Source organism: Homo sapiens, chromosome 8 (assembly GCF_000001405.40).
Source record: "Homo sapiens chromosome 8, GRCh38.p14 Primary Assembly".
In the NCBI taxonomy this organism is placed as follows: Eukaryota; Metazoa; Chordata; class Mammalia; order Primates; family Hominidae; genus Homo; species Homo sapiens.
The window spans coordinates 43,485,950-43,511,246 of record NC_000008.11 but is presented as its reverse complement, the minus strand read 5'-3'; the positions used below and the strand labels follow the sequence as shown (position 1 = coordinate 43,511,246).

The following is a 25,297-nucleotide window of genomic DNA, read 5'->3' as shown; positions in this document are numbered from 1 at the left end:
AGCAGCAGTGCTCAAAGTCTCATTCCAATGTCCCAGTCAGCCCACAGACCATCCCTCCCTGCATGTGTGCCCACAGATCAGGCCCTGTGGGTCTTCTTGGGACAAGGCCTTTCCTCCAAGACACAGGGAGGGACAGTCAGCCTCAGGCTCCATGTGCCCAGCTTCTCACTCACCCCCCAAGGTCCTCTGGGCCCATCTCAAAGGAGACAGTGAGGTGGCCTGGCACTGCCTGAACACATCATCTAGCCTATTCCTGAGTCTCAGAGTGGGAGGAAGGGAGGGACATTTGGCAGATGAGACACCCTGTGCTGCTTGGTCTCTCAGGGCCCTTCCTGCAGAGCACAGGTCTAGAGACAAATCACAGGGGCTTCAAGGAGACTAATCCAGAACCTTTCAGGCTGAGCCAAGGACCACATGAGGACTGTCCCCAGACAGTCAGAAGGTTCTTTGCTACTTTCTTGGTACCTCAGTGGATGCAGCAGTGGTTCTTCCTACTGGGGACCAGTAAGTGCAAGCTGCGGAATGCTCATCCTGTGCTTCCTCGGTGGCTCCACCTCTGCTTCTAAGAACAATCACTCATTCCAGGGCTGGGGCAGAGAAAATACAAGATAAGCTTGGAGCATCTTGTGCCAGAAAGTAAAAAAGTGCTGACAGACTAATGGGGACAAATAAAAAAGAGATGAAGGGAGCTTGAAATGTCTACCACTGGCCTAATCTTGGGGCATTTGAGGACCAGAATCACGAGCTTTCCCTTCTCGGTTATGTATTGGTTTTATTTCTCCATGTAGAACAAAGGAGAGAATAAGAAAGTAATCATTTGGCAATCATTACGGTAATAATTGCTCAAACACAAGTCATCCATGAAATGCTAAATCTAGTGGGTTTTGAGGAGCAACCAGATATTTACAGAGCCTCAAAATATCTCCACACAAAATACTGTTGAACTACAAAAAGGAAATAGTAACACTCTGGGAGGCTGAGGTGGGTGGATCACATGAAGTCAGTTCGACACCAGCCTGGCCAATATGATGAAACCCCGTCTCTACTAAAAATAAAAAAAAAAAATTAGCTGGGTGTGGTGGCAGGTGCTTGTAACCTCAGCTACTCGGGAGGCTAAGGCAGGAGAGTCACTTGAACTCAGGAGGCAGAGGTTGCAGTGACCGAGATCACGCCATTACACTCCAGCCTGGGTGACAAGAGCAAAACTTCATCTCAAAAAAAGAAAAAAAGGAAATAGTAACATTAGCACGAACATACCAGGCTGGTACTCCTCAAGTCTCCTATTATATATAGTAGTAAAAGCTATAAAATGCCAATAAGCCATCAATGACCTCTACTGAAGTATCAATGATGACTTGATTGTTTGGCTGTTTAAACAGCTGAAATCTGGGCAATTTGAGTATGTCAAACTCAACAATACTGGTTTTCATTTACAAGATCAACTTAAAACTTAAAGAGGCTAAAAAATCATTTAAAATACCATATACATTTTCATCACACATATGATACAAACATATTCTACTTTAGTGAAGATCATGATGTTACATATTTTATGAGAAACAATTAAAATGTCATGTACACAGATCAGTAATAAAGTTTTAAGATGTTTTAGGTCTTTTAAATCATAAACTTTTTCCTTAAGATTTTATGGTTTAGATATTCTCTTCATTAGTTGTTGCTCATCAGTGGATTCTAAAGAAGAAACCAGATGGGAGAAAATGTCCAACACAGCAAAAGCTGGAAAGAAAAATAAAGAATTATGTTCTTTACCTAAAACATTTCAGTTAACTATGTGTAAGTTTAAAAACTAAAGAGTTGGCCAGGTGCAGTCACTCACACCTGTAATCCCCACACTTGGGGAGGCTGAGGTGGGCAGATCACCTGAGGTTAGGAGTTCGAAACCAGTCTGACCAACATGCAGAAACCCCATCTCTACTAAAAATACAAAATTAGCCAGGCATGGTGGCACATTCCTGTAATCCCAGCTACTCGTAGGGCTTAGGCAGGAGAATCATTTGAACCTGGGAGGAGGAGGTTGCGGTGAACTGAGATCATACCATTGCACTCTAGCCTAGACAAAAAGAGCAAAACTCCATCTCAAAATAAATAAATAAATAAATAAAGAGTTCAGAACTTTATCAGGGTTAATAAGAATGAGAAATATGTATGTACAATTATAATACAAAATTACTATTAAATAGAATTTGCTCGTATTTACACATGGAATTAATTACAATTGTGGTTAAATATGAGAGCTTTTTATTCTTCATTCACATACTCAACAGCCATGTGCTAAGGTACTAGAACCAGCACTGGAATTACAAGATGAAGATAGTATGGTCCACCTCTCAACAATCATATGCTGTAATCTGAAAAAACAGACAGGCAGGCAATGTCCACATAGAGTCATAGATGCCATGACAGGTATATAGCAGGGTACTACTGGAACACACAGAAGAGTCATCTATCCCAGTTTTGTGTCAATATCATAGGCTTTCTGGTGGAGAAGATAGGTAGGTTGATGCCTGAAGGACGAGGAAAAGATTGCCAGATAGAGGGAAGAGATGAAGGCAAAGAGCCTGAGGTGAGGAAGAACCCTGTGGAGTTCCACTCCATCCAGTTTGGTGCTAGAGCAAAGGGCAGAGTGTGGTAAGTGGCTAGAGACAAGGCTGAGTAACTTGACAAGAATCACATTGATGTAGGTGTTTTTATTCCATGGTGAAAAATTTAGAACTTTTCCTGAGAACAAAAGTAAGCCAATGACAAAGTAAATGACAGAAAATTTAAAATGTCACCTGTCAAGTGACTGCTTATGAATGGTTATGGCTCAGCTGAGTATTTCTAAATGAGCATGAGGTCTGTTGGTCTTAAGTCTCTACCGGAACCCTGAGAACCTGATGATGCCTTTGTTTGCTGAGAATTGTTTGAGTGTGCTGGCTGACAGTTCCATGAGAATGACAAAAGTGAATAAAGTGTAGAGCCAGTAAAAAAGGGATGCATAGACTTCTTGGGAATTTTTTAAGCTATGGAACATGATGAATTAATGGTGCATAAGTATACTCTTCATTGTGAAAGTTTTTGTTTTCACATCTGTCATTAGATGTATGTAAGAAAAGAATAACATAGTATCTACTAACCCAACAATGAAAAGGAATGCCATTTGCTATATACAGTTTATTTCTAAAATAAGTCTAAATTTAATTAATAAATTTTGGCAACATACTTTTCTTTGTTTCTCTAATTATTTGTTCTACACAGTCCAACTCCATCTCAAGTAAAAATAATAATAATGTTTAAGTTAAACAAGAGACATTATCGTGAGAATAATATATCACTTACAAAATGTGGCCTTTAGTATATTTAGTGACTACACATAACTTGAACACTTGTTTAAATAGAAAAATAATCACATAAATAAAATAAAATTTCTACTTATTTTAAGTTTAGATAATAGAGGATATATCTGTGTAATGCTGTTTAGATTTATCTGATAACAATAAAATTAATATTGGTCTATTGTATATAAATAATTTTAAAAAGGTGGTGTTTTATTAGTACAAAGGTTAAACAATTAAAGTCATGTTTTGCAATGAATACATTGCTTCAAAACTCTTAGCAAAATTCTGCCCTTTATAAAAGTTCAATCCATTTTTTACTTCAGTAAACTTTTCCTTAAAAAGAAATTTCTATTCTCCACTTACAGTAACCTTTTTTATAGTAAATTTTTTCTAGATTGTATTCTAAATCAAGGTGGTACCTGTGTAGGTTTCTTCCAAAGGTATATTGAGGAATGCTGAGGTTTGGGGTCCAACTGAACCCGTCACCCATGTAGTGAGCATAGGATCCAATAAGTAGTTTTTCAACCCTGGCCTACTCTGTCCCTCCCCGTTCTTATTTCCCAGTGTCTACTATTCCCATGTTTATGACAGTGTGAACCCAATGCCTATCTCCCACATTATGAGTAAGAACATGAGATATTTGGTTTTCTGTTTCTATGATAGTTTGCTTAGGATAATGGATTCCAGTTGTATCCATGTTGGACATGATTTTGTTGTTTCTATGGCTGCATAGTAATCCATGGTGTATGTGAAATTTTCCAATCTACTTTGGATTTTCAGTCTACCTTGGATGCACCTTGGTTGACTCCATGTCTTTGCTATTGTGAATAGTACTGCAAGGAACATACATGTGCATGCATCTTTTTGTTACGATGATTTCTTTTCCTTTAGGTATACCCCCAGCATAGAAATGGGGTTGCTGCATCCAATGATCATTCTTAGTTCTTAATTTCCAAACTGCTCTCCATAGCAGCTGAACTAATTTTTTATTGCCACCAACAGTGTGTAATTGTTCCCTTTTCTCCAATCCTCCCAACACCAGTTTTTTTTTACTTTTTAACAATATTCATTCTGATTGGTGTGAGATGGTATCTTGTTGTTTTGTTTTGCATTTCTCTGATGATTAGTGATAAGCAATTGTTAATATGTTTGTTGGCTACTTATATGTGTTCTTTTGAAAAGTGTCTGTTCATGTCCTTTGCTCATTTTTTAATGGAGTTATTTTTTGTTTGTATATTTGTTTAGGTCCCTTATGGATTCTGGATAATAGGCCTTTGCTGTATGCATAGTTTGTGAATATTTTCTTCCATTCTGTAGGCTGTCTGTTCAATCCCTTGATAGTTTCTTTTGCTGTGTAGAAGCTCTTTAGTTTAATTTGATCACACTTGTCAATTTTTGTTATCCTTGCAATTGCTTTTCAGGACTTAGCCATATATTCATTGCCAACCACTATGGCCAGAAGAATATTTCCTAGGTTTACTTCCAGGATTTTTATAGTCAGAGGATGTACTCTTATGTAAGAAGAGCACAAGGCTTTTAAAATAAAAATGGAAATGAATCTTTTAGTATTTTATGTTTATTTAATTCATAAAATGCACTTATTTTGGATTCTATTAAATAGTAAATACCCATGTGTGATTAAGTGTTTGGATGCCAATCATTCCTTTGTGAGTATGGGTGGGAAGAGTTGAGATGGTACAAAGAAACCTTAAAAGTGGCATGAACCACAGCCAAACTACAATCAATTAGAGCGTAAGCCAAAGCATCTCAAAATATACCTTCAGTTATTAGGCAATAACATGCAATTTCTAAAATCTAACTTAAGTGCAGCCTTTAAAGAAAGTTGAAATGTGTCAGTTTATTTACATTTACTGAATAAAGTTAGCAAATGGGTGTCTCTTGAAAATTAGAGCTCTGGGGAATTTAAAAAAAAGTAAAGTTCCCATTTCCTTTCTGTGTTAATATGGCTAACTATAATCTTTACTTAACATGCATAGGTCAACTGAACAACTCAGTATTTCACCAAATTAAAAACAAGAATATTATTAGTGAAATAAAACCCAAAATAGAAAAGGTAATTTGAAGTCTGTGGGCTTGAAGTAGGAATTCTTACAGGTGTTTTGGGAATACATTTTCTGTTGAGTCCTATACTATTAAGATTTTCAACACAAGGTGGCTCTGAGCCTGGCCTCATAGAAAGAGCACTGAGAAAAGCTTTCATCCACTCTTTCTCCATATGGAGCTTGGTGCTGATCACTTGTTTTCTTATTTGATCTGTGAAGATAGCAAAGACAAATGCTTAGTATTTCATTTTTCCTTAAGTGAGTCTTAATGACTTCCACTTTTTTAAAAGTTGCTGAGAGAGTAAACCAAATTACCCACTAAAGTGTTTTCTCACCGAAGATGTGTGAGAGCATATCTGTTGTAACCAATTATAATTTTAAAGTCGTTCAAAAGAAGTACATGTGTTTCTAGGGTGATTTCTACTGAATAAGCAATTCAAACAAAGTAGAGAGGGAAGAGAAATGGCTATCAGTAATGTGGGGCTGAACAGGTAACACTTGCTGCTTTCTAAAATGACTCTACTTGTAAGATTTGGAAGATTCTATTAGAAATACTTGTATTTAAAGGGTAACTATGTGACAAAATGAATATGTTAAGTTGTTTGACTATAAGAACCAATTCACTATAAATAGTTATATCAAAACGGCTTGTTGTACTCCTTAAATAATATACATTTAAGAAATCTAAAATGAACCAAAAAAAAAAACCGCTAGAAATACTTGTGCTTAGTAAACCAGTTTCAGGTTTCACCCTTGTACATTTCACCCATTATCTAGGAACAATTAAGCATTTGGCAATGATGAATAATTCTGAGCAACAACTCATAGTAGAGAAGTAGATGGCTTGGTTGGTGATCAAAAAGAACTAAAGCATCTCTGAAGACAATTAGCCCCTAACATTGTGACCAAGGCACTGGAGATGGGGTTTTTTCTTTCTGTCTTCCACACACCCCTTCAGGCTGAACAAGGTGTTATTTTGAAACCACTTAGTGAATCACACTTCCTTTCATTCCTGTAATAATTATTCCCTATTTCACAAGAACGCCTTTCTGTAGTTTGAAAATGTTACACAGAATAGTCTTTCTTAAGGTGCCCTATAGTGATAATACTAAAGATCACAATCAAGGACAGTTCCATGCCTGAGGGCCAGGATATACCCAGAGCAGCAGTAGTACTTGACACTTTGGGTTTAGGTTGTGATGTACCAAAAAGTAAATTAAACTCATTAATATTTCTACTTAGGGTAATTCTGACAAGTAATTTTATAACAAGATCACTTTATTAATTATAACGATTCAAAAATACTTAGTGAAAAAAACTAATAGATCAAGTTAACTACATGAGATTTTTTCAGGAAAAAAAAGCCATACAAAAGAGAGAGAGAGAGAGAGAGGAAGGAGACACCGAACCTCTCCCTGACTAACGTTTTAAAGGTAAGATTATTTACTGACATTATTTTCCAAAATTATATTGTCAAGTTAGCATTCACTTTCTACTAATCTCCTGAAGGCATCTCACTAGATTATGCTTTCAAAACAAATTAATAAGCTTATTCCATTTTCTATGAGTGTATGTTTAGTAGTGTTAGTATTAATGCAATCTGGTCATTTAAAAAGTAATAGAATCCATTTATAATTTTAAAAACTGAACAATGAACAATGTAGCTTAAGACCAATTCAAAAGTATCATTTAATTTCTAAATCACAATCTTCTCTTTTCCTAATAGTCTTATGCCTACAGGTCTTAACAATCAAGTGAGTCTATAGTGAGAATCATTACTCTGAAAGATCAATTTTGTTATAATAATGATGGAAATTTAAATATTTAAAAGAAAAACACAGATGCCACCTGTTTCTAGAACTCTACAAATTGCTATGAGAGGCAGAGTAAACACAATACATATAATATCTAAAATGTAATTTGCAGTGAAATAAATGAAAGCACATTACAGATAAACTTACCTGACTTTAAAAACTAACGTGTTAATGGATTTCTTCTATTTTTTTTCTATTGCTGGCATTGCTTTTTCTTCTAGCTCCAATTTATATTCTTGTACTTTACCAAGTTCTACCATATTTTTCCATATGTGTCATAAGATTTACTATTCCTTCTTCCAACATCTTTTTATTTTCCTCAAGTTTTTCACATTCCTGTTGTACTTTTTTCATAGATAACTCCTGTTGAGTAACTTGATTGTTTTCAGCCAAATAGACACATTGTAAAGATACAGCTTCCAATTCTGCTGTGAGATCATCAAACTGCATGAATGAAATAATACAGCTTGATAATGCAGTAGCTGAGAATAATAAAACCAATAAAAATTTTGGTTTAATAATAAACCAATAAAATTTTTGAAATACATTTACTTGGAATAAAATATTACCTGTAATGTAGCAGATTCCTCAAATGTTAACCCTTAAATTACTCAGAAATTCAAGAACAAAATTAGACCACCATGAGTCACAAAAATATATTCTTTACTATCATCATCTTTGATGCAGAAATTTTGCACTTGATCTTTTATTATTCTGATTGTTTCTTTTTGTTCCTCCTTAAATGGCTCTAAGTTATCTCTTAGGAGAAAGTTTATAAACCTCTTCCCTCATCATCATTCCCCATAATTTGTCAAAAAAAGTTTCAGAGATATCATATTAAGATATTTAGGCCAAAGTCAAAAAATGGCTCTCAGAATAAGACACTGAAAATAATATAACACTCTATGCTAGGCATGGTGGCTCATGCCTGTAATCCTAGCAGTTTAGGAGTCTGTGGCAGAAAGATCACTTGAGGCCAGGAATTTGAGAGCAGCCACAGAAACACAGTGAGACTCCACATCTCTACAAAAAAAAATTATTTTTAATTATTCATGCCTTGTACATCCAGCTCATTGGGAGAATGAGGCAAAAGGGTGGCTTGGACACAGAGTTCAGGGCTGCAGTGAATTATGACCACACCACTGCACTTCTGCCTGGATAACAGACAAAGACCATATCTCAAAAAAAAGAGACAAAATAATGAATCCTGTAAATAAGGATTCTAATGTCATAAGCCTTTCCCTAAAATGCAAATGTTTTATGCTAATTTGAATTGCATTTTAAGAAGTAATGATTCTTGGGGTAAAGTCTATGGCACATGCCACCCAGAAATAAATCCACATATTTACAGCCAGCTGATTTTGGACTAAGATGCCAAGAACATACATTGGGGAAAGGACACCCTCTTCAAATGAATGCCACTGGGAAAACTGAATATACATATGGAGAACAATGATAATAGATTCCTATCTAACACCAATACCAAAATAAACTCAGAATGAATTGAAGACTTAAATGTCAGGCCCAAAATTATCAAACTACTAGCAGTAAATATAGGAAAAATGCTTCAGGACATTAGTCTGCACAAAGATTTTTATGGATAAGACATCAGAAGCATAGGCAAAAAACAAATGATAGACAAATGGTACCACATTAAGCTAAAGAGCTTTTGCCCAGAAAACAACTGAGTAAACAGAAAACCTGTAGAATGGGAGAAAATACTTTCAAACTATTCATCTAATAAAGGACTAATATCCAAAATATACAAGAACGCAAACACTTGACATTAAAAAAAATCTGAATTCAAAATAAGGCAAAAGATCTGAATACACATTTCTTTTTCAAAAAAAGAAATACACATGGCAAATAAATACATTTAAAAATGCTCAGTATCACTAATCATCAGGGAAACACAAATCAAACCTACAACGAGGTATAATCTCACTCCAGTTCAAATAAATGACTATCATTGAAAAGACAAAAAATAACAAATGCAGGTAAGGTTTCAGAGAACAGTAAACTCTTATATGCTGGTGATAGGAAGGTAAATTAGTGCAGCCACTACAGAAAACAACATGAGGATTTCTCAAAAAACTAGTATTGGAACTGCTGAGGGATCCAGCAAACCCACTACTGAGTATTCAGCCAATCGAAAACAAAAGATCAAAAGGATAACTGTACTCGTACATTTATTGTAGCACTATTTACAACAGCTAATGTATGGAATCAACCTATATGTCCATCAACAAATGGACAAAAAATGTAGTATACATACAAAATGGAATAGTATTCCACATATAGAGGAATGAAATCTTGTTATTTGTTGCCACGTGGATGAGTCTGGAGAATGTTAAGTGCAGGCACAGAAAGAAAAATACTGCACATTCTCACTCATGTGTGGGAGCTAAAGAAAAATTGAAGGCTGGACAACATGGCTCATGCCTGCAATTTCCTAGCACTTTAAAAGACCAAGGCAGGAGAACTGCTTGAGGCCAAAAGTTCCAGACCAGCCTGGGCAACATCATGAGACCTCATGTCTACAAAGTAAAAAATCAGACAGGTGCAGTGGTGCACACCCGTAATCCTGGCTGCTCAGGAGGCTAAGGTGGGGTGATCATATGAGCCCAAGAGTTTGAGGCTGCAGTGAGCTATGATCAAATCATTGTCTCTAGTCTGAGTGACTGCAGTTGCCCAGGGCCCAGACTAGACTAGCAAGACCCTGTCTCTTAACAACAACAAAAAACTCAAGGAAGTAAGGGAGGGGAGGCTGGTTAATAGATACAGAATTACAGTTATAAAAAAGGAATGAGTTCTGGCGTCCTGTAGCATTGTAGGGTGAATATGCTTAACTATGATTTATTGTATATTTTCAAAAAGCTGGAAGACTTTTTGAAAAATGATTGAGGTAATAAATATGCTAGTAATACCTTGATCAATACACACTATATACATGTATCAAAATATAACTTTATAACTCATAATTTTGTATATACATGTCAATTAAAAACAAAAGAGAAGATAAATTCATCCCACTAAAAAAATAGAATACGGGCCAACCTTACTGACTTCCTTCTAATGAAAAGAATGCAGTAATAAGGGATTCCATGTGGCTTCTCTATCTCCAACTGCTTTCCCTTCAAACCCAGCCCCCAGACTAAGAGAGAGCTCAGGCCACAAAGAGAGCCTGGGAGTGCCAGTGTCAGTGTTCATGCTGCCTGCCCAAACCAAGGTTCCAGCCAATGGCCAGCATTAACCATCAAACACATGGTTGAACAAAGCATCTGATGATTCCATTTCCCCAGTCATTCAGCTGTTCCTAGGGAAGCTGAGGGAAGCAGAGACAAGCTGTCCTGGCCAAGCTTTTTCCAAGCCACAGATTCATGAGCAAAATAAATGTTGTTCTTTTTTTAGTATTTTTATTAGAGACGGGGTTTCACCATCTTGGCCAGGCTGGTCTTGAACTCCTGACCTCATGATCCACCCACCTCTGCCTCACAAAGTGCTGGGATTACAAGCATGAGCCACCGTGCCCAGCCTTAAATGTTTCTCTTTTACGCCACTAAACTCTGGGTAATTGTTAGAAAAAAATGATTTTAAAAAAGAGACAACAGGAAACATAACTTACACAGCAGAAAAGAGTCTCTTTTAAAGTAGAATCAAATAAATGTTGAGATTAATTTATTGATGACAAGCATTATTGAGAAGCAGCAGATAACTGGGAGAGAGACATAAGTTCCTGAGGATGAACTTTTCCTAAAACTCCCTTCAATTATGAACTCTGATGACAAGGCAAGGGTGTCTCCTTAGAATTTCCCCTCAAGTTAGGAAATAAGACTGGAAAGCAAGAAGACGTGATTTTTAAAAACAACTAGAACTACTTGGTTAAATAACCAAAATCAGACAGTTTACCTGATTTCAATTAACTAAAAATTCTAAAAGTAAGCAGCTTTGAGTATTTATTAATCAATCTAGTATTCCATTTTCATTTTCCTTTACTCAGTGGGGAAACAAGGAGAACACGATGGAATTATTTTTAATCTTCACAGAAGTAAAATAAATGTAGTGTGCCTTGAGTGTTAAGAAATCAAATGCGATTTCTCCTTCATCCTTACTTCAAGCTTGTTTGTATGGAGAAGTTAAGACCATCCCATCTCTATGTTATACCACAACGCTTCTCTATAGCACACAAGTTGACTCTGAAATTTTAAAATTCAAATTACTAATCTACTACTGATAAATTTCCTGAACATTACCAGATTTTTAAGCGCTGCACTCCTAAATATTTTTCTTGCAATGAGTTAAACTTTTTACTCCAAGAATCTTCTACTAAGCTACAAAGCACAGCTGTGCATCTCTGTTTCAGTAAAACGAGGTCAATACAGGGAACTGTGGTTTCTGAGAATGCAGGATCTGCACCAAGAAAAGGATCAGCCACAGTGCTACACAAGAGAACCAGCTACCAGGTGGAAAAAGGATCTGCGAATTGAAAGATGATAACTTCACTTGACTTCCACTGAGGAAAGCTGGCAGCTCAGACTTAAACTTCTCCTTTCTAGATGGTAAGCATCTATGGATGATTCTATGAATTATAATGAGTTAATAAGACATAATGCACTAAATAGTAGGCTATGTCAGCGGATCCTGCGACCAAAATTTACTGAAAATGAAACTATAGAGGGAGGCACTGGATAAGACACTAAAGGCTTGAATGGAGGAAAAAAAAAGAAATGAATTGTGTCTTGTAAGCCTGACTTCTCATCATGTCTTAGGATAAGTAAAGTATAAGCTGACCACAGACTCTCTGGAGATGCAGAAGGTGAAGTTAAAGATGTTCCACTATATTTAATATTTATTATGACATAAGACAACTGGTAATATGCAACATGATTGAAAAAAACTTATTAAATTCAATTTGGCCCTGGCATAAGAATAGACATAAACAAAGAACTGATCATTAAAAAATAAACCTGCGTATTCAGTCAATTGATTTTTTACAGGGTTAACAAAACAATGAAATGGGAAAAGAATAGTCTTTTAGACAAATGGTGCTGGGACAACTGGGTATCCATATGCAAAAACATAATAAAGTTGGACTCTCACTAAATACCATATTTAATAATTAACTCAAAATAAAACAGCTAACTGTAACAGCTAAAACTCTAAAACTTTCAGAAGAAAACATTGGCATAAGTCTTTGTAACTACATTTGGCAGTGTTTTCTTAGCTCTGACTCCAAAGGAAAAATGGATTCAATGGACTTCAAAACTGAAAAATTCTGTGTGTGAGAAAACAGTCAAGAAAGTGAAAAGTCAAGTCAACGAGTAGAAGAAAATATTTGGAAAGCATATATCTGATAAGGGACTTATATCTAGGATATATAAAGAACCCTTTCAATTCATAAATAAAAAGATGACCCAATTAAAAATGGGCAAAGATTTTGAATAGAAATTTTGCAAAGAAGAAAAGATGGATATAAGCACATTAATCGATGCTTAATGTAATTAGTCATTAGGAAAATATAAATATTAGCAAAAATGTAAAGAAATTAAAGCCCTTATACAATGCTGCTGGAAATGTAAAGTGGTGCAGCCACTTTGGAAAACAAACTGGCAGCTCCTCAAAAGGTTAAGCATGAAGTTACCATAATATAAGCTGACCACATGTTCCTTCAAGAAGCAAACAGTGAAGTTAAAGGCTACCTAGTACTTGAATTTCTATTCTTACTTTAGGCAATTGGTAATAATAAGTAACACGATTGGAAAACAATTCTAAAATTTGCTTTGGTAATGGCATAACAGTAGACATAAATCAACATATTAGAATTGAGAATCCAAAAATAAACTCACATTTATGGTCAATTGATTTTCAACAAGGGTGCCAAAAAGAACAACACTTAAAAAAGAATATTAATTTATTTAAAAGAATAGTCTTTTCCACAAATGGTGCTGGGAAAACTAGGTATCTACATGCAAAAGAATAAAAATAGACTCCTGGCATATGCTGTATCTAAAATTAACTCAAAATAGAATCACTAAATATAAGAGCTAAAACTATAAAATTTTTAGAAGAAAGCATAGACATAAATCTTTGTGACTGCAAAAAAAGATTAATGACTATCAAAATTTGAAATGTCTGCACGTGAACAGACATCATCAAGAAAGTTTTAAAAAAGCCTATTGAGTGAAAGAAAATACTTGAGAATCATATCTGTTAAGGATCTTATGGATTCACAAACAAAAAGGCAACCACTTTTAAAAATAGGCTGCATTTTAATAGACATTTCTCCAAAGAAGATACACAAGTCACTCCGAAGCACGTAAAAAGATGATTAAAGTAATTAGTCATTAGGGAAATGCAAATCGAACCAAAATGAGGTATCATAGGGAATTATGGAAATGCAAATCGAACCAGAATGAGGTATCATTTCACACCACTAAGAGGAAATCTTTTCTTAATCAAAAATGTGAAAAATGTTGGCAAAGAAATAGAGAAGTTGGAACCCTTACACAATTCTGATAGGAATGTAAAATGATACAGCCACTCTGGAAAACAGACTGGCAGCTCCTCAAAATGTTACATATAGAGTTACAATATGACCCAGCAATTCCACTTGTATGCATACACCCAAGAGAAATGAAAACACAAAAACTTGTACATAAAAGCAGACATGATTAATAGCCAAAGAATGGAAACAATTCAAAGGTCCACAACTGAGGAATGAGTAAATAAAATGACTGATATATCCACACAGTGGAATATTACTCAGCAATAAGAGGGAATTGAGTACTGATATATGTTACAACACAGATGAGCCTTAAAACCTTATCCTATGTGAAAGAACCCAATCACAAAAGACCACCACATATTGTGTGGTTCAACTGATATGAAATGTCCAGAATAGGCAACTCTATAAAGACAAAGTAGGCTGGTGGTTCCCTAGAGCTGAGGAAGGGCAAACTGGTGGATAATAGCAAAATGATGCACTGTTTCTTTTTAGGATCATGAAAATATTCTAAAATTGGTGATGGTGATGGCTATACAACTCTGTGAATATACTAAGAGACCATGTGAACTGTATGGTGTTCAAATTATACATCACTACAATTGTCTTTTAAAATCCCAATGGTAGGATCTAGATACGTTTCTTAATCCTCTAATTTGGATGTATATACTCTACACAAACTGAGCATTTCCATGCTTTTACAATATACTTAAAATGAAAGAAAAAAGAAGGGAATGCTTAACATTTCAAGTACTTTGTAAATTAACCTAAAACATCTGCATTTTGGAGAAAAGTATAATGGCCTTTCTGTACAAGTTATCCTAAAATTCATGCAATAAATATACAAAGATTCTGCACCCATCCAAGAAAGTAAGATAAGCAATAAGATGCTTTTCTGGAACATTCTATTGAACATTATCCTCTGATGTAATCTGGCTTGCCTCAACATGGCAACAGAGAAATCCCTGAAAAATACTGTTTCACACACAAAAAAAAGTCTCTCAACTTCTGTGAGGAATGATGTATAATTCCCAGCTTTCTTAAGGGTAAATATTATCTTTAAAATGTACATACTTATGAGAAAAACATGACAGACTGAAAAGTCAGAAGAAATAAGTGCATGATAAAGATAATAAAATTAATTGTAATGAAAATACAAAAGAAATCTATCCACTGCAATTAGCATCCTAAAACTATATATTCCTCCACCACCTACAGATTAACTGTTGACATGTTACATTTCATACATACTTGACTCTGATTTTACCTAATTCCTTCTTTGAATCTTGTGTCTCTTCTAAATTAATGTGACAATGTGGTGTAGCCTCTAGGGAAGGCTCTGACAGGTTTTTTTTCAGGGTATCAGCCGGTTCTTGTAGAAGTTGTCTCATAATTACCTGTTAAGATATTTTTGTTACTGATTTCATATATCACCTTATTATTAAAACATGATCATAACATTCAACATATACTTTGAAAAATAGCACCACATACATGGATTCACCTTCTTTTCCTCATGTGTATACATTCTTATTACTGAATTCAGTTAAGGACACAGGTGTTATATTCCTTCCAAATGAGTATTCTGCTAGATGACAGAATCAGCCCACTATTCATTAACCCCTGATACATTTACAATGCTTAACAACCTACTGAAGTCCCAAAAATTCGGTATGTGGGTGGCACTAGTGGTGGAAAATGCTGGAGTGTAAAATGTCTTTCCTCTTTTTTATCAGAACCTCAAATAAACCTCCCCACTCCTCACATATTCAATTGCCTGCTCAGATCCTTCTAATAGATTTCTACCTCAGAATAAAAGTAAAATTCCAATGACATTTGGAGGCCCTAGGTAACCTGGCCTCCACCTCCCTCCCTTACCTCAGTTCCTATAACTCTCTCCCCTACTCATTCCATTCCAACTGTATGTGAATTCTGCCATCCCTCATTAGCTTTAAAATGAAAACCCAATGCTAAACAAAGCAACTGCAGACAAACACAATTATCTTTGTACTGGACAAGGTTATAGCCAAATGACAGTCATTGAGCCATAAGATAAAAATCATGAGCAAATTACTTTTAAGAACATTAAAATTATAAACACCAGAGGTACGACTAAATCAAATATGGTTTTGCTGGAAATTCACATCTGTTCCAAATAATGATTTTATAAAAAGTAAATGCCTTCAAATAATTGAGAGGTCATAACAATAATGTGAGACTTAAAGTCTCAGATTTAAGTCAAATCAGTAAAAATAAAAATAAAACTACACCAACATAAATACATAAAAAGCTACCTTAAAAAAGTACTATGAGATACAGCAGTATATTTCAGTTCACCTGGGAAATCTGGAAATAACTGTCAAAGTAACCCACATGATTGAATCTTAATTTCAAAAAATTCATTTCAGGTAAAAGGCATTTCTGTTTATCTGTCTCATCATGGTCTTAAAATTAGTCCACAGAGAGATATTAAAATTATTTCAGCAGAAGTCCACATTAGAACTATTAGTCTATATATAGTAAATTTGTAAAATAAAGTCTTAAAATTTCAAAGGTGATACAATTTCGTTGTTCAAAATAAGGCAAATTTCAGGTCTACCTTTTTTTGCTGGTATGTTTCTAGGCCGTACAGCAAATATATTTTATGGTCTACATATTTTTATATTCAAATACATATAACATTTACCATAACCAAATATTACTTTAAATTTTCTTTCAGGAAGTTTGAAAAATATCTTTGTTAATACTTACTTTTTTCCCACTGTCTCTTTTTCACATTGATATATTCTTTCTTTCAAGGGATTACGTACATTGATTATCTCCTCGTTTTCCTCTTCCAGCAGAAGACTTTATACTCTCAGCTAGAAGATTTCTGACAACAGCATGGAATTGCTCTTGGATAGTACTGATTGTCTTTTCTTGACTCTCAGCTTTCTTGTCAGCATCATCCAGTTGCTGCCAAAGCAAATTATTTTCACTTTGTAGTTGAGAAAATCTGTCTTCATAGGTTTCTGCACTCCAGTATATTTATTTACTCTGCTTTGTTCATTTTGACACATTTGTTCAATTTCTTTCTTTTGACACTGTCTGTGTTTGGCATAGATCTCTTTGGAAATGTTCTAAAACTGAAGTCTTTTCTCCGAGTGTTTATCTTGTGTGATGGAGCTTAATTTTTAGGCTGTTAATTTTACTGTCAGCATTAGAGAGTTGTTCAGAAAGAACCTCACTGTTACCTTTTAGGGTAGGCATATCAAACTTCATTTTCTCCTGTAAATGAACCTATTTGTGTCTTATTCTCTGGAAAGAGGTCTCTTTTTGCTTTCTCACTTTGGTCACAAAAATATACAGCAGTGGCCAGTCTACAATTATATGATTGAATTTCTGTTTCCAGTCTTTCCTTGTGGTGCTTTATATCCCCCAGTTTAAAACCAAGCATTTTATTCTCAGTTGTCAAAATGCTAAGCTGTTCATTGTAGTGAAATACCTCTTTTGTTAAAGTTTCCTCATTCAATTTTATAGCTTTTAGAAGATTATCATTCTTTTTTTCATATTTTCAGTGTTCTCAAAATATTTCTTTTCCTTTAGCTGGTTTTTTTTATTATTATTATACTTTAAGTTTTAGGGTACATGTGCACAATGTGCAGGTTAGTTACATATGTATACATGTGCCATACTGGTGTGCTGCACCCATTAACTCATCATCTAGCATTAGGTATATCTCCCAATGCTATCCCTCCCCCCTTCCCCCACCCCACAACAGTCCCCAGAGTGTGATGTTCCCCTTCCTGTGTCCATGTGTTCTCATTGTTCAATTCCCACCTATGAGTGAGAATATGCGGTGTTTGGTTTTTTGTTCTTGAGAAAGTTTGCTGAGAATGATGATTTCGAATTTCATCCATGTCCCTACAAAGGACATGAACTCATCATTTTTTATGGCTGCATAGTATTCCATGGTATATATGTGCCACATTTTCTTAATCCAGTCTATCATTGGACATTTGGGTTGGTTCCAGGTCTTTGCTATTGTGAATAGTGCTGCAATAAACATATGAGTGTATGTGTCTTTATAGCAGCATGATTCATATTCCTTTGGGTATATACCCAGTAATGGGATGGCTGGGTCAAATGGTATTTCTAGTTCTAGATCCCTGAGGAATTGCCACATTGTCTTCCACAAAGGTTGAACTAGTTTACAGTCCCACCAACAGGGTAAAAGTGTTCCTATTTCTCCACATCCTCTCCAGCACCTGTTGTTTCCTGACTTTTTAATGATTGCCATTCTAACTGGTGTGAGATGATATCACATTGTGGTTTTGATTTGTATTTCTCTGATGGACAGTAACGATGAGCATTTTTTCATGTGTCTGTTGGCTGCATAAATGTCTTCTTTTGAGAAGTGTCTGTTCATATCCTTTACCCACTTTTTGATGGGGTTCTTTGTTTCTTTCTTGTAAATTTGTTGGAGTTCATTGTAGATTCTGGATATTAGCCCTTTGTCAGAGGAGTAGATTGTGAAAATTTTCTCCCATTTTGTAGGTTTCCTGTCCACTCTGATGGTAGTTTCTTTTGCTGTGCAGAAGCTCTTTAGTTTAATTAGATCCCATTTGTCAATTTTGGCTTTTGTTGCCATTGCTTTTGGTGTTTTAGACATGAAGTCCTTGCCCATGCCTATGTCCTGAATGGTAATGCCTAGGCTTTCTTCTAGGGTATTTATGGTTTTAGGTCTAACGTTTAAGTCTTTAATCCATCTTGAATTGATTTTTGTATAAGGTGTAAGGAAGGGATCCAGTTTCAGCTTTCTCCATATGGCTAGCCAGTTTTCCCAGCACCATTTATTAAATAGGGAATCATTTCCCCATTGCTTGTTTTTCTCAGGTTTGTCAAAGATCAGATAGTTGTAGATATGCGGCATTCTTTCTGAGGGCTCTGTTCTGTTCCATTGGTCTATATCTCTGTTTTGGTTACTGTAGCCTTGTAGTATAGTTTGAAGTCAGGTAGTGTGATGCCTCCAGCTTTGTTCTTTTGGCTTTGGATTGACTTGGTGATGTGGGCTCTTTTTTGGTTCCATATGAACTTTAAAGTAGTTTTTTCCAATTCTGTGAAGAAAGTCATTGGTAGCTTGATGGGGATGGCATTGAATCTGTAAATTACCTTGGGCAGTATGACCATTTTCACGATATTGATTCTTCCTACCCATGAGCATGGAATGTTCTTCCATTTGTTTGTGTCCTCTTTTATTTCATTGAGCAGTGGTTTGTAGTTCTCCTTGAAGAGGTCCTTCACATCCCTTGTAAGTTGGATTCCTAGGTATTTTATTTTCTTTGAAGCAATTATGAATGGGAGTTCACTCATGATTTGGCTCTCTGTCTGTCTGTTGTTGGTGTATAAGAATGCTTGTGATTTTTGTACATTGATTTTGTATCCTGAGACTTTGCTGAAGTTGCTTATCAGCTTAAGGAGATTTTGAGCTGAGACAATGGGGTTTTCTAGATATACAATCATGTCAACTGTAAACAGGGACAATTTGACTTCCTCTTTTCCTAATTGAATACCCGTTATTTCCTTCTCCTGCCTAATTGCCCTGGCCAGAACTTCCAACACTATGTTGAATAGGAGTGGTGAGAGAGGGCATCCCTGTCTTGTGCCAGTTTTCAAAGGGAATGCTTCCAGTTTTTGCCCATTCAGTATGATATCGGCTGTGGGTTTGTCATAGACAGCTCTTATTATTTTGAAATACGTCCCATCACTACCTAATTTATTGAGTATGATATTGGCTGTGGGTTTGTCATAGATAGCTCTTATTATTTTGAGATACGTCCCATCAATACCCAATTTATTGACAGTTCTTATCATGAAGGTTGTTGAATTTTGTCTAAGGCCTTTTCTGCATCTATTGAGATAATCATGTGGTTTTTGTCTTTGGTTCTGTTTATATGCTGGATTACATTTATTCATTTGTGTATATTGAACCAGCCTTGCATCCCAGGATGAAGCCCACTTGATCATGGTGGATAAGCTTTTTGATGTGCTGCTGGATTTGGTTTGCCAGTATTTTATTGAGGATTTTTGCATCAATGTTCATCAAGGATATTGGTCTAAAATTCTTTTTTTGGTTGTGCCTCCACCCGGCTTTGGTATCAGGATGATGCTGGCCTCATAAAATGAGTTAGGGAGGATTCCCTCTTTTTCTATTGATTGGAATAGTTTCAGAAGGAATGGTACCAGTTCCTCCTTGTACCTCTGGTAGAATTTGGCTGTGAATCCATCTGGTCCTGGACTCTTTTTGGTTGGTAAGCTATTGATTATTGCCACAATTTCAGATCCTGTTATTGGTCTATTCAGAGATTCAACTTCTTCCTGCTTTAGTCTTGGGAGAGTGTCTGTGTCGAGGAATTTATCCATTTCTTCTAGATTTTCTAGTTTATTTGCGTAGAGGTGTTTGTAGTATTCTCTGATGGTAGTTTGTATTTCTGTGGGATCGGTGGTGATATCCCCTTTATCATTTTTTATTGCATCTATTTGATTCTTCTCTCTTTTCTTATTAGTCTTGCTAGCGGTCTATCAATTTTGTTGATCCTTTCAAAAAACCAGCTCCTGGATTCATTAATTTTTTGAAGAGTTTTTTGTGTCTCTATTTCCTTCAGTTCTGCTCTGATTTTAGTTATTTCTTGCCTTCTGCTAGCTTTTGAATGTGTTTGCTCTTGCTTTTCTAGTTCTTTTAATTGTGATGTTAGGGTGTCAATTTTCAATCTTTCCTGCTTTCCCTTGTGGGCATTTAGTGCTATAAATTTCCCTCTACACACTGCTTTGAGTGCGTCCCAGAGATTCTGGTATGTTGTGTCTTTGTTCTCGTTGGTTTCAAAGAACATCTTTATTTCTGCCTTTATTTCGTTATGTACCCAGTAGTCATTCAGGAGCAGGTTGTTCAGTTTCCATGTAGTTGAGCGTTTTTGAATGAGATTCTTAATCCTGAGTTCTAGTTTGATTGCACTGTGGTCTGAGAGACAGTTTGTTATAATTTCTGTTCTTTTACATTTGCTGAGGAGAGTTTTACTTCCAAGTATGTGGTCAATTTTGGAATAGGTGTGGTGTGGTGCTGAAAAAATGTATACTCTGTTGATTTGGGGTGGAGAGTTCTGTAGATGTCTATTAGGTCCACTGGGTGCAGAGCTGAGTTCAATTCCTGGGTATCCTTATTGACTTTCTGTCTCAATGATCTGTCTAATGTTGACAGTGGGGTGTTAAAGTCTCCCATTATTAATGTGTGGGAGTGTAAGTCTCTTTGTAGGTCACTCAGAACTTGCTTTATGAATTGGGGTGCTCCAGTATTGGGTGCATATATATTTAGGATAGTTAGCTCTTCTTGTTGAATTGATCCCTTTACCATTATGTAATGGCCTTCTTTGTCTCTTTTGATCATTGTTGGTTTAATGTCTGTTTTATCAGAGACTAGGATTGCAACCCCTGCCTTTTTTTGTTTTCCATTTGCTTGATAGATCTTCCTCCATCCTTTTATTTTGAGCCTATATGTGTCTCTGCACGTGAGATGGGTTTCCTGAATACAGCACACTGATGGGTCTTGACTCCTTATCCAATTTGCCAGTCTGTGTCTTTTAATTGGAGCATTTAGTCCATTTACATTTAAAGTTAATATTGTTATGTGTGAATTTGATCCTGCCATTATGATGTTAGCTGGTTATTTTGCTCATTAGTTCATGCAGTTTCTTCCTAGCATCGATGGTCTTTACATTTTGGCATGATTTTGCAGTGGCTGGTACCGGTTGTTCCTTTCCATGTTTAGTGCTTCCTTCAAGAGCACTTTTAGGACAGGCCTGGTGGTGACGAAATCTCTCAGCATTTGCTTGTCTGTAAAGTATTTTATTTCTCCTTCACTTATGAAGATTAGTTTGGCTGGATATGAAATTCTGGATTGAAAATTCTTTTCTTTAAGAATGTTGAATATTGGCCCCCACTCTCTTCTGGCTTGTAGAATTTCTGCTGAGAGATCCGCTGTTAGTCTGATGGGCTTCCCTTTGTGGGTAACCCGACCTATCTCCTTGGCTGCCTTTAACATTTTTTCCTTCATTTCAACTTTGGTGAATCTGACAATTATGTGTCTTGGAGTTGCTCTTCTCAAGGAGTATCTTTGCGGCATTCTCCGTATTTCCTGAATGTGAATGTTGGCCTGCCTTGCTAGATTGGGGAAGTTCTCCTGGATAATATTCTTCAGAGTGTTTTCCAACTTGGTTCCATTCTCTCCGTCACTTTCAGGTACACCAATCAGATGTAGATTTGGTCTTTTGACATAGTCCCATATTTCTTGGAGGCTTTGCTCGTTTCTTTTTATTGTTTTTTTCTCTAAACTTCCCTTCTCACTTCATTTCATTCATTTCATCTTCCATCGCTGATACCCTTTCTTCCAGTTGATTGCATTGGCTCCTGAGGCTTCTGCATTCTTCAGGTAGTTCTCGAGCCTTGGTTTTCAGCTCCATCAGCTCCTTTAAGCACTTCTCTGTATTGGTTATTCTAGTTATACATTCTCCTAAATTTTTTTCAAAGTTTTCAGCTTCTTTGCCTTTGATTTGAATGTCCTCCCGTAGCTTGGAGTAATTTGATCATCTGAAGCTTTCTTCTCTCAGCTCGTCAAAGTCATTCTCCGTCCAGATTTGTTCCATTGCTGGTGAGGAACTGCGTTCCTTTGGAGGTGGAGAGGCACTCTGCTTTTTAGAGTTTCCAGTTTTTCTGCTCTGTTTTTTCCCCATCTTTGTGGTTTTATCTACTTTTGGTCTTTGATGATGGTGATGTACAGATGGGTTTTTGGTGTGGATGTCCTTTCTGTTCGTTAGTTTTCCTTCTAACACACAAGACCCTCAGCTGCAGGTCTGTTGGAGTACCTGGCCAGATGTGTGAGATGTCAGTCTGCCCCTGCTGGGGGGTGCCTCCCAGTTAGGCTGCTCAGGGGTCAGGGGTCAGGTACCCACTTGAGGAGGCAGTCTGCCCATTCTCAGATCTCCAGCTGCATGCTGGGAAAACCACTGCTCTCTTCAAAGCTGTCAGACAGGGACACTTCTGTAGGTATCTTTAAAAAAAATAATTTCTCATTGGTGTTGCTGCACACTGACTAAGTCTTGCAGTTCTCATTCTCATTTGCTTATGGTATTAGAAAGGTATTGCTGAGTTTCCACTTTTAAAGATAGTTACTTTTTTAGTGACACAAACCTCAGTGTAATATAGCTAACCTTTGACCAACACAGGCTTGAACTGTAGGGGTCTACTACTCATATGCAGATTTTCTTCTACCTCTGTCACCTCAGACAGCAAGCCCAACCTCCCTCTTTCTCCTCTTCAGCCTATTCAACTTGAAGATTAAGGATGAAGACATTTATGATGATCCACTTCCACTTGATATTAATTATATTTTTTCTTCCCGACAGTTTCTTTTCTCCAGTTTATTGTACAAATACAACATACAATACTTATAACACACCAAATATCATCTTAACTGACTGTGTTACCAATAAGGCTTCTGGTCAACAGTAGGCTATTAGTAGTTAAGTTATGAGGGAAGTCAAAAGTTATACATAGATTTTTGGCTGCATGGAGGATTGGTACCCCTAAGTCCTACACTGTTCAAGGGTCAACTGTAATTAACATTCATTTGCTCAAAGCAAACCATTTATTTAAATAATTAAATAGAAGATTCAATTGTATAACAAGTCCAATTTGTTATCATGTGACCGTAAAAAAGATATACCATGTACTAACTTGTGTTTTTCTTATTTACATAAAAATATTATACAAGATTTTAGAGACCATAATTAAATTTTTCAGATATTTGAAATTATAAATCACCTAAAATGAAATTTTTAAATAATTCTGAAATCGAACCTACTCTCAAAAAAAATTGTAAAATATATACATGCAATTTATACACAGTGATTTTTCAAACTGTTTTTTTTTTGTGATAAAAACTTCCTTACTTTTACTTTCTTATCTATGGTAGGACCACCTAGCGCAGGGGTCCACAACTCCTGGGCAACAAACTGGTACCAGCCCATGGCCTGTTAGGAACCAGGCCACACAGCAAGAGGTGAGTGGCAGGTAAGCCAGCAAAGCTTTATCTGTATATACAGCCACACCCCATTTCTCCTATTCCCACTTGAGCTCCACCTCCTGTCAGATCAGAGGTAGAATTAGATACTCATTGGAGCATGAACCCTGCTATAAACTGTACATGCTAGGGATCTAGGTTGTGTGCTTCTTATGAGAATCCAATGCCTGATGATCTGTCACTTTCTCCCATTGCCTCCAGATGAGAACATCCAGTGACAGGAAAACAAGTTCAGGGATCTCACTAACTCTACATTATGGAGAGTTGTATCATTATTTCATTATATATTACAATATAATAATATAAAGTAGCACAATAAATGTAATGTGCTGGAATCATCCCAAGACCATCCCCTCCTTCCTCCAGTCCATGGAAAAATTGTCGTCCACAAAACCGGTCCCTGGTGCCAAAAAGAGTGGGAACCACTGACCTAGAGTAATTCACTGTCAGAAGTCTTACTTGGATTGCTGTTGAGAGAACGGCTTTTTTGTATCTGTTTGTCTTTGTAGTCAGAAAGTAATTGACAAATTCTATGTATAAACATATAATAAGTAAAATTACTATTTTAATACTCATATGAAAAATACTTACCAAATGTTAAATTCTTCAAGTAGTTCCAACAATATCAGAATATCAAAACTTTAATTATCCAATACACTTACGCCTACATTCCACAAGCTTCTCAATAAGCTTCTAATTAAAGAGAAAAAAAGGTGAAATACTCATAAATCGAGGGCACTGTGACTCAGTAAATTAACTTGCCTTAGCTTGACATAATAGAAAGTGTCCCAACTCTGCATAAGGCCTAGCTCCATAATGAACAGCTATTTGTTCTTGGAGAACCTACTTCTCATAGGCTCAATGTCTTCTTCTACAAAGTGAGGATTTTGCTGCCTTATTTCAATAGGTTGTTACGAAAATTTAACAATTTTTTTTTGAGACAGAGTGTCATTCTGTCACCCAGGCTGGAGTGCAGTGGCACAATCTCAGTTCACTACAATCTCTGCCTCCTGGGTTCAAGTGATTCTCCTGACTCAGGCTCCTGAATAGCTGGAATTACAGGCAATTGCCATGATGCCCAACTAATTTTTGTATTTTTAGAAGAGACGGGGTTTCATCATATTGGACAGGCTGGTCTCAAACTCCTGACCTCATGATCCGCCTGCCTTAGCCTCCCAAAGTGCTGGGATTACAGGCATGAGCCACCACGCCTGGTGGATAATTTTTTTTATTATACTTTAAGTTTTAGGGTACATGTGCATAACGTGCAGGTTAGTTACATATGTATACATGTGCCATGTTGGTGTGCTGCACCCAGTAATTCGTCATTTAACATTAGGTATATCTCCTAATGCTATCCCTCCCCCTCCCCCCACCCCACAACAGGCCCCGGTGTGTGATGTTCCCCTTCCTGTGTTCATGTGTTCTCATTGTTCGATTCCCACTTATGAGTGAGAACATGCGGTGTT

At 36.3% G+C, this 25,297-nt stretch overlaps 1 long non-coding RNA gene across 3 annotated transcripts; it reads right to left on the bottom strand.

The window, feature by feature from the left end:
• Positions 1-471: 471 nt before the first annotated feature.
• Positions 472-24,517, bottom strand: LOC105379397 (uncharacterized). 3 transcript variants are annotated; one of them, XR_949719.2, is made up of 4 exons: positions 24,420-24,517; positions 14,985-15,114; positions 7,363-7,659; positions 472-587 (listed from the first exon to the last, which is right to left on the bottom strand). It is a non-coding gene; the product is annotated as an uncharacterized LOC105379397 (long non-coding RNA). The 3 variants fall into 3 exon arrangements; XR_949720.2 differs by lacking the exon at positions 472-587 and adding an exon at positions 1,398-1,737; XR_949721.2 differs by lacking the exon at positions 472-587 and adding an exon at positions 4,708-5,612.
• Positions 24,518-25,297: the final 780 nt, after the last annotated feature.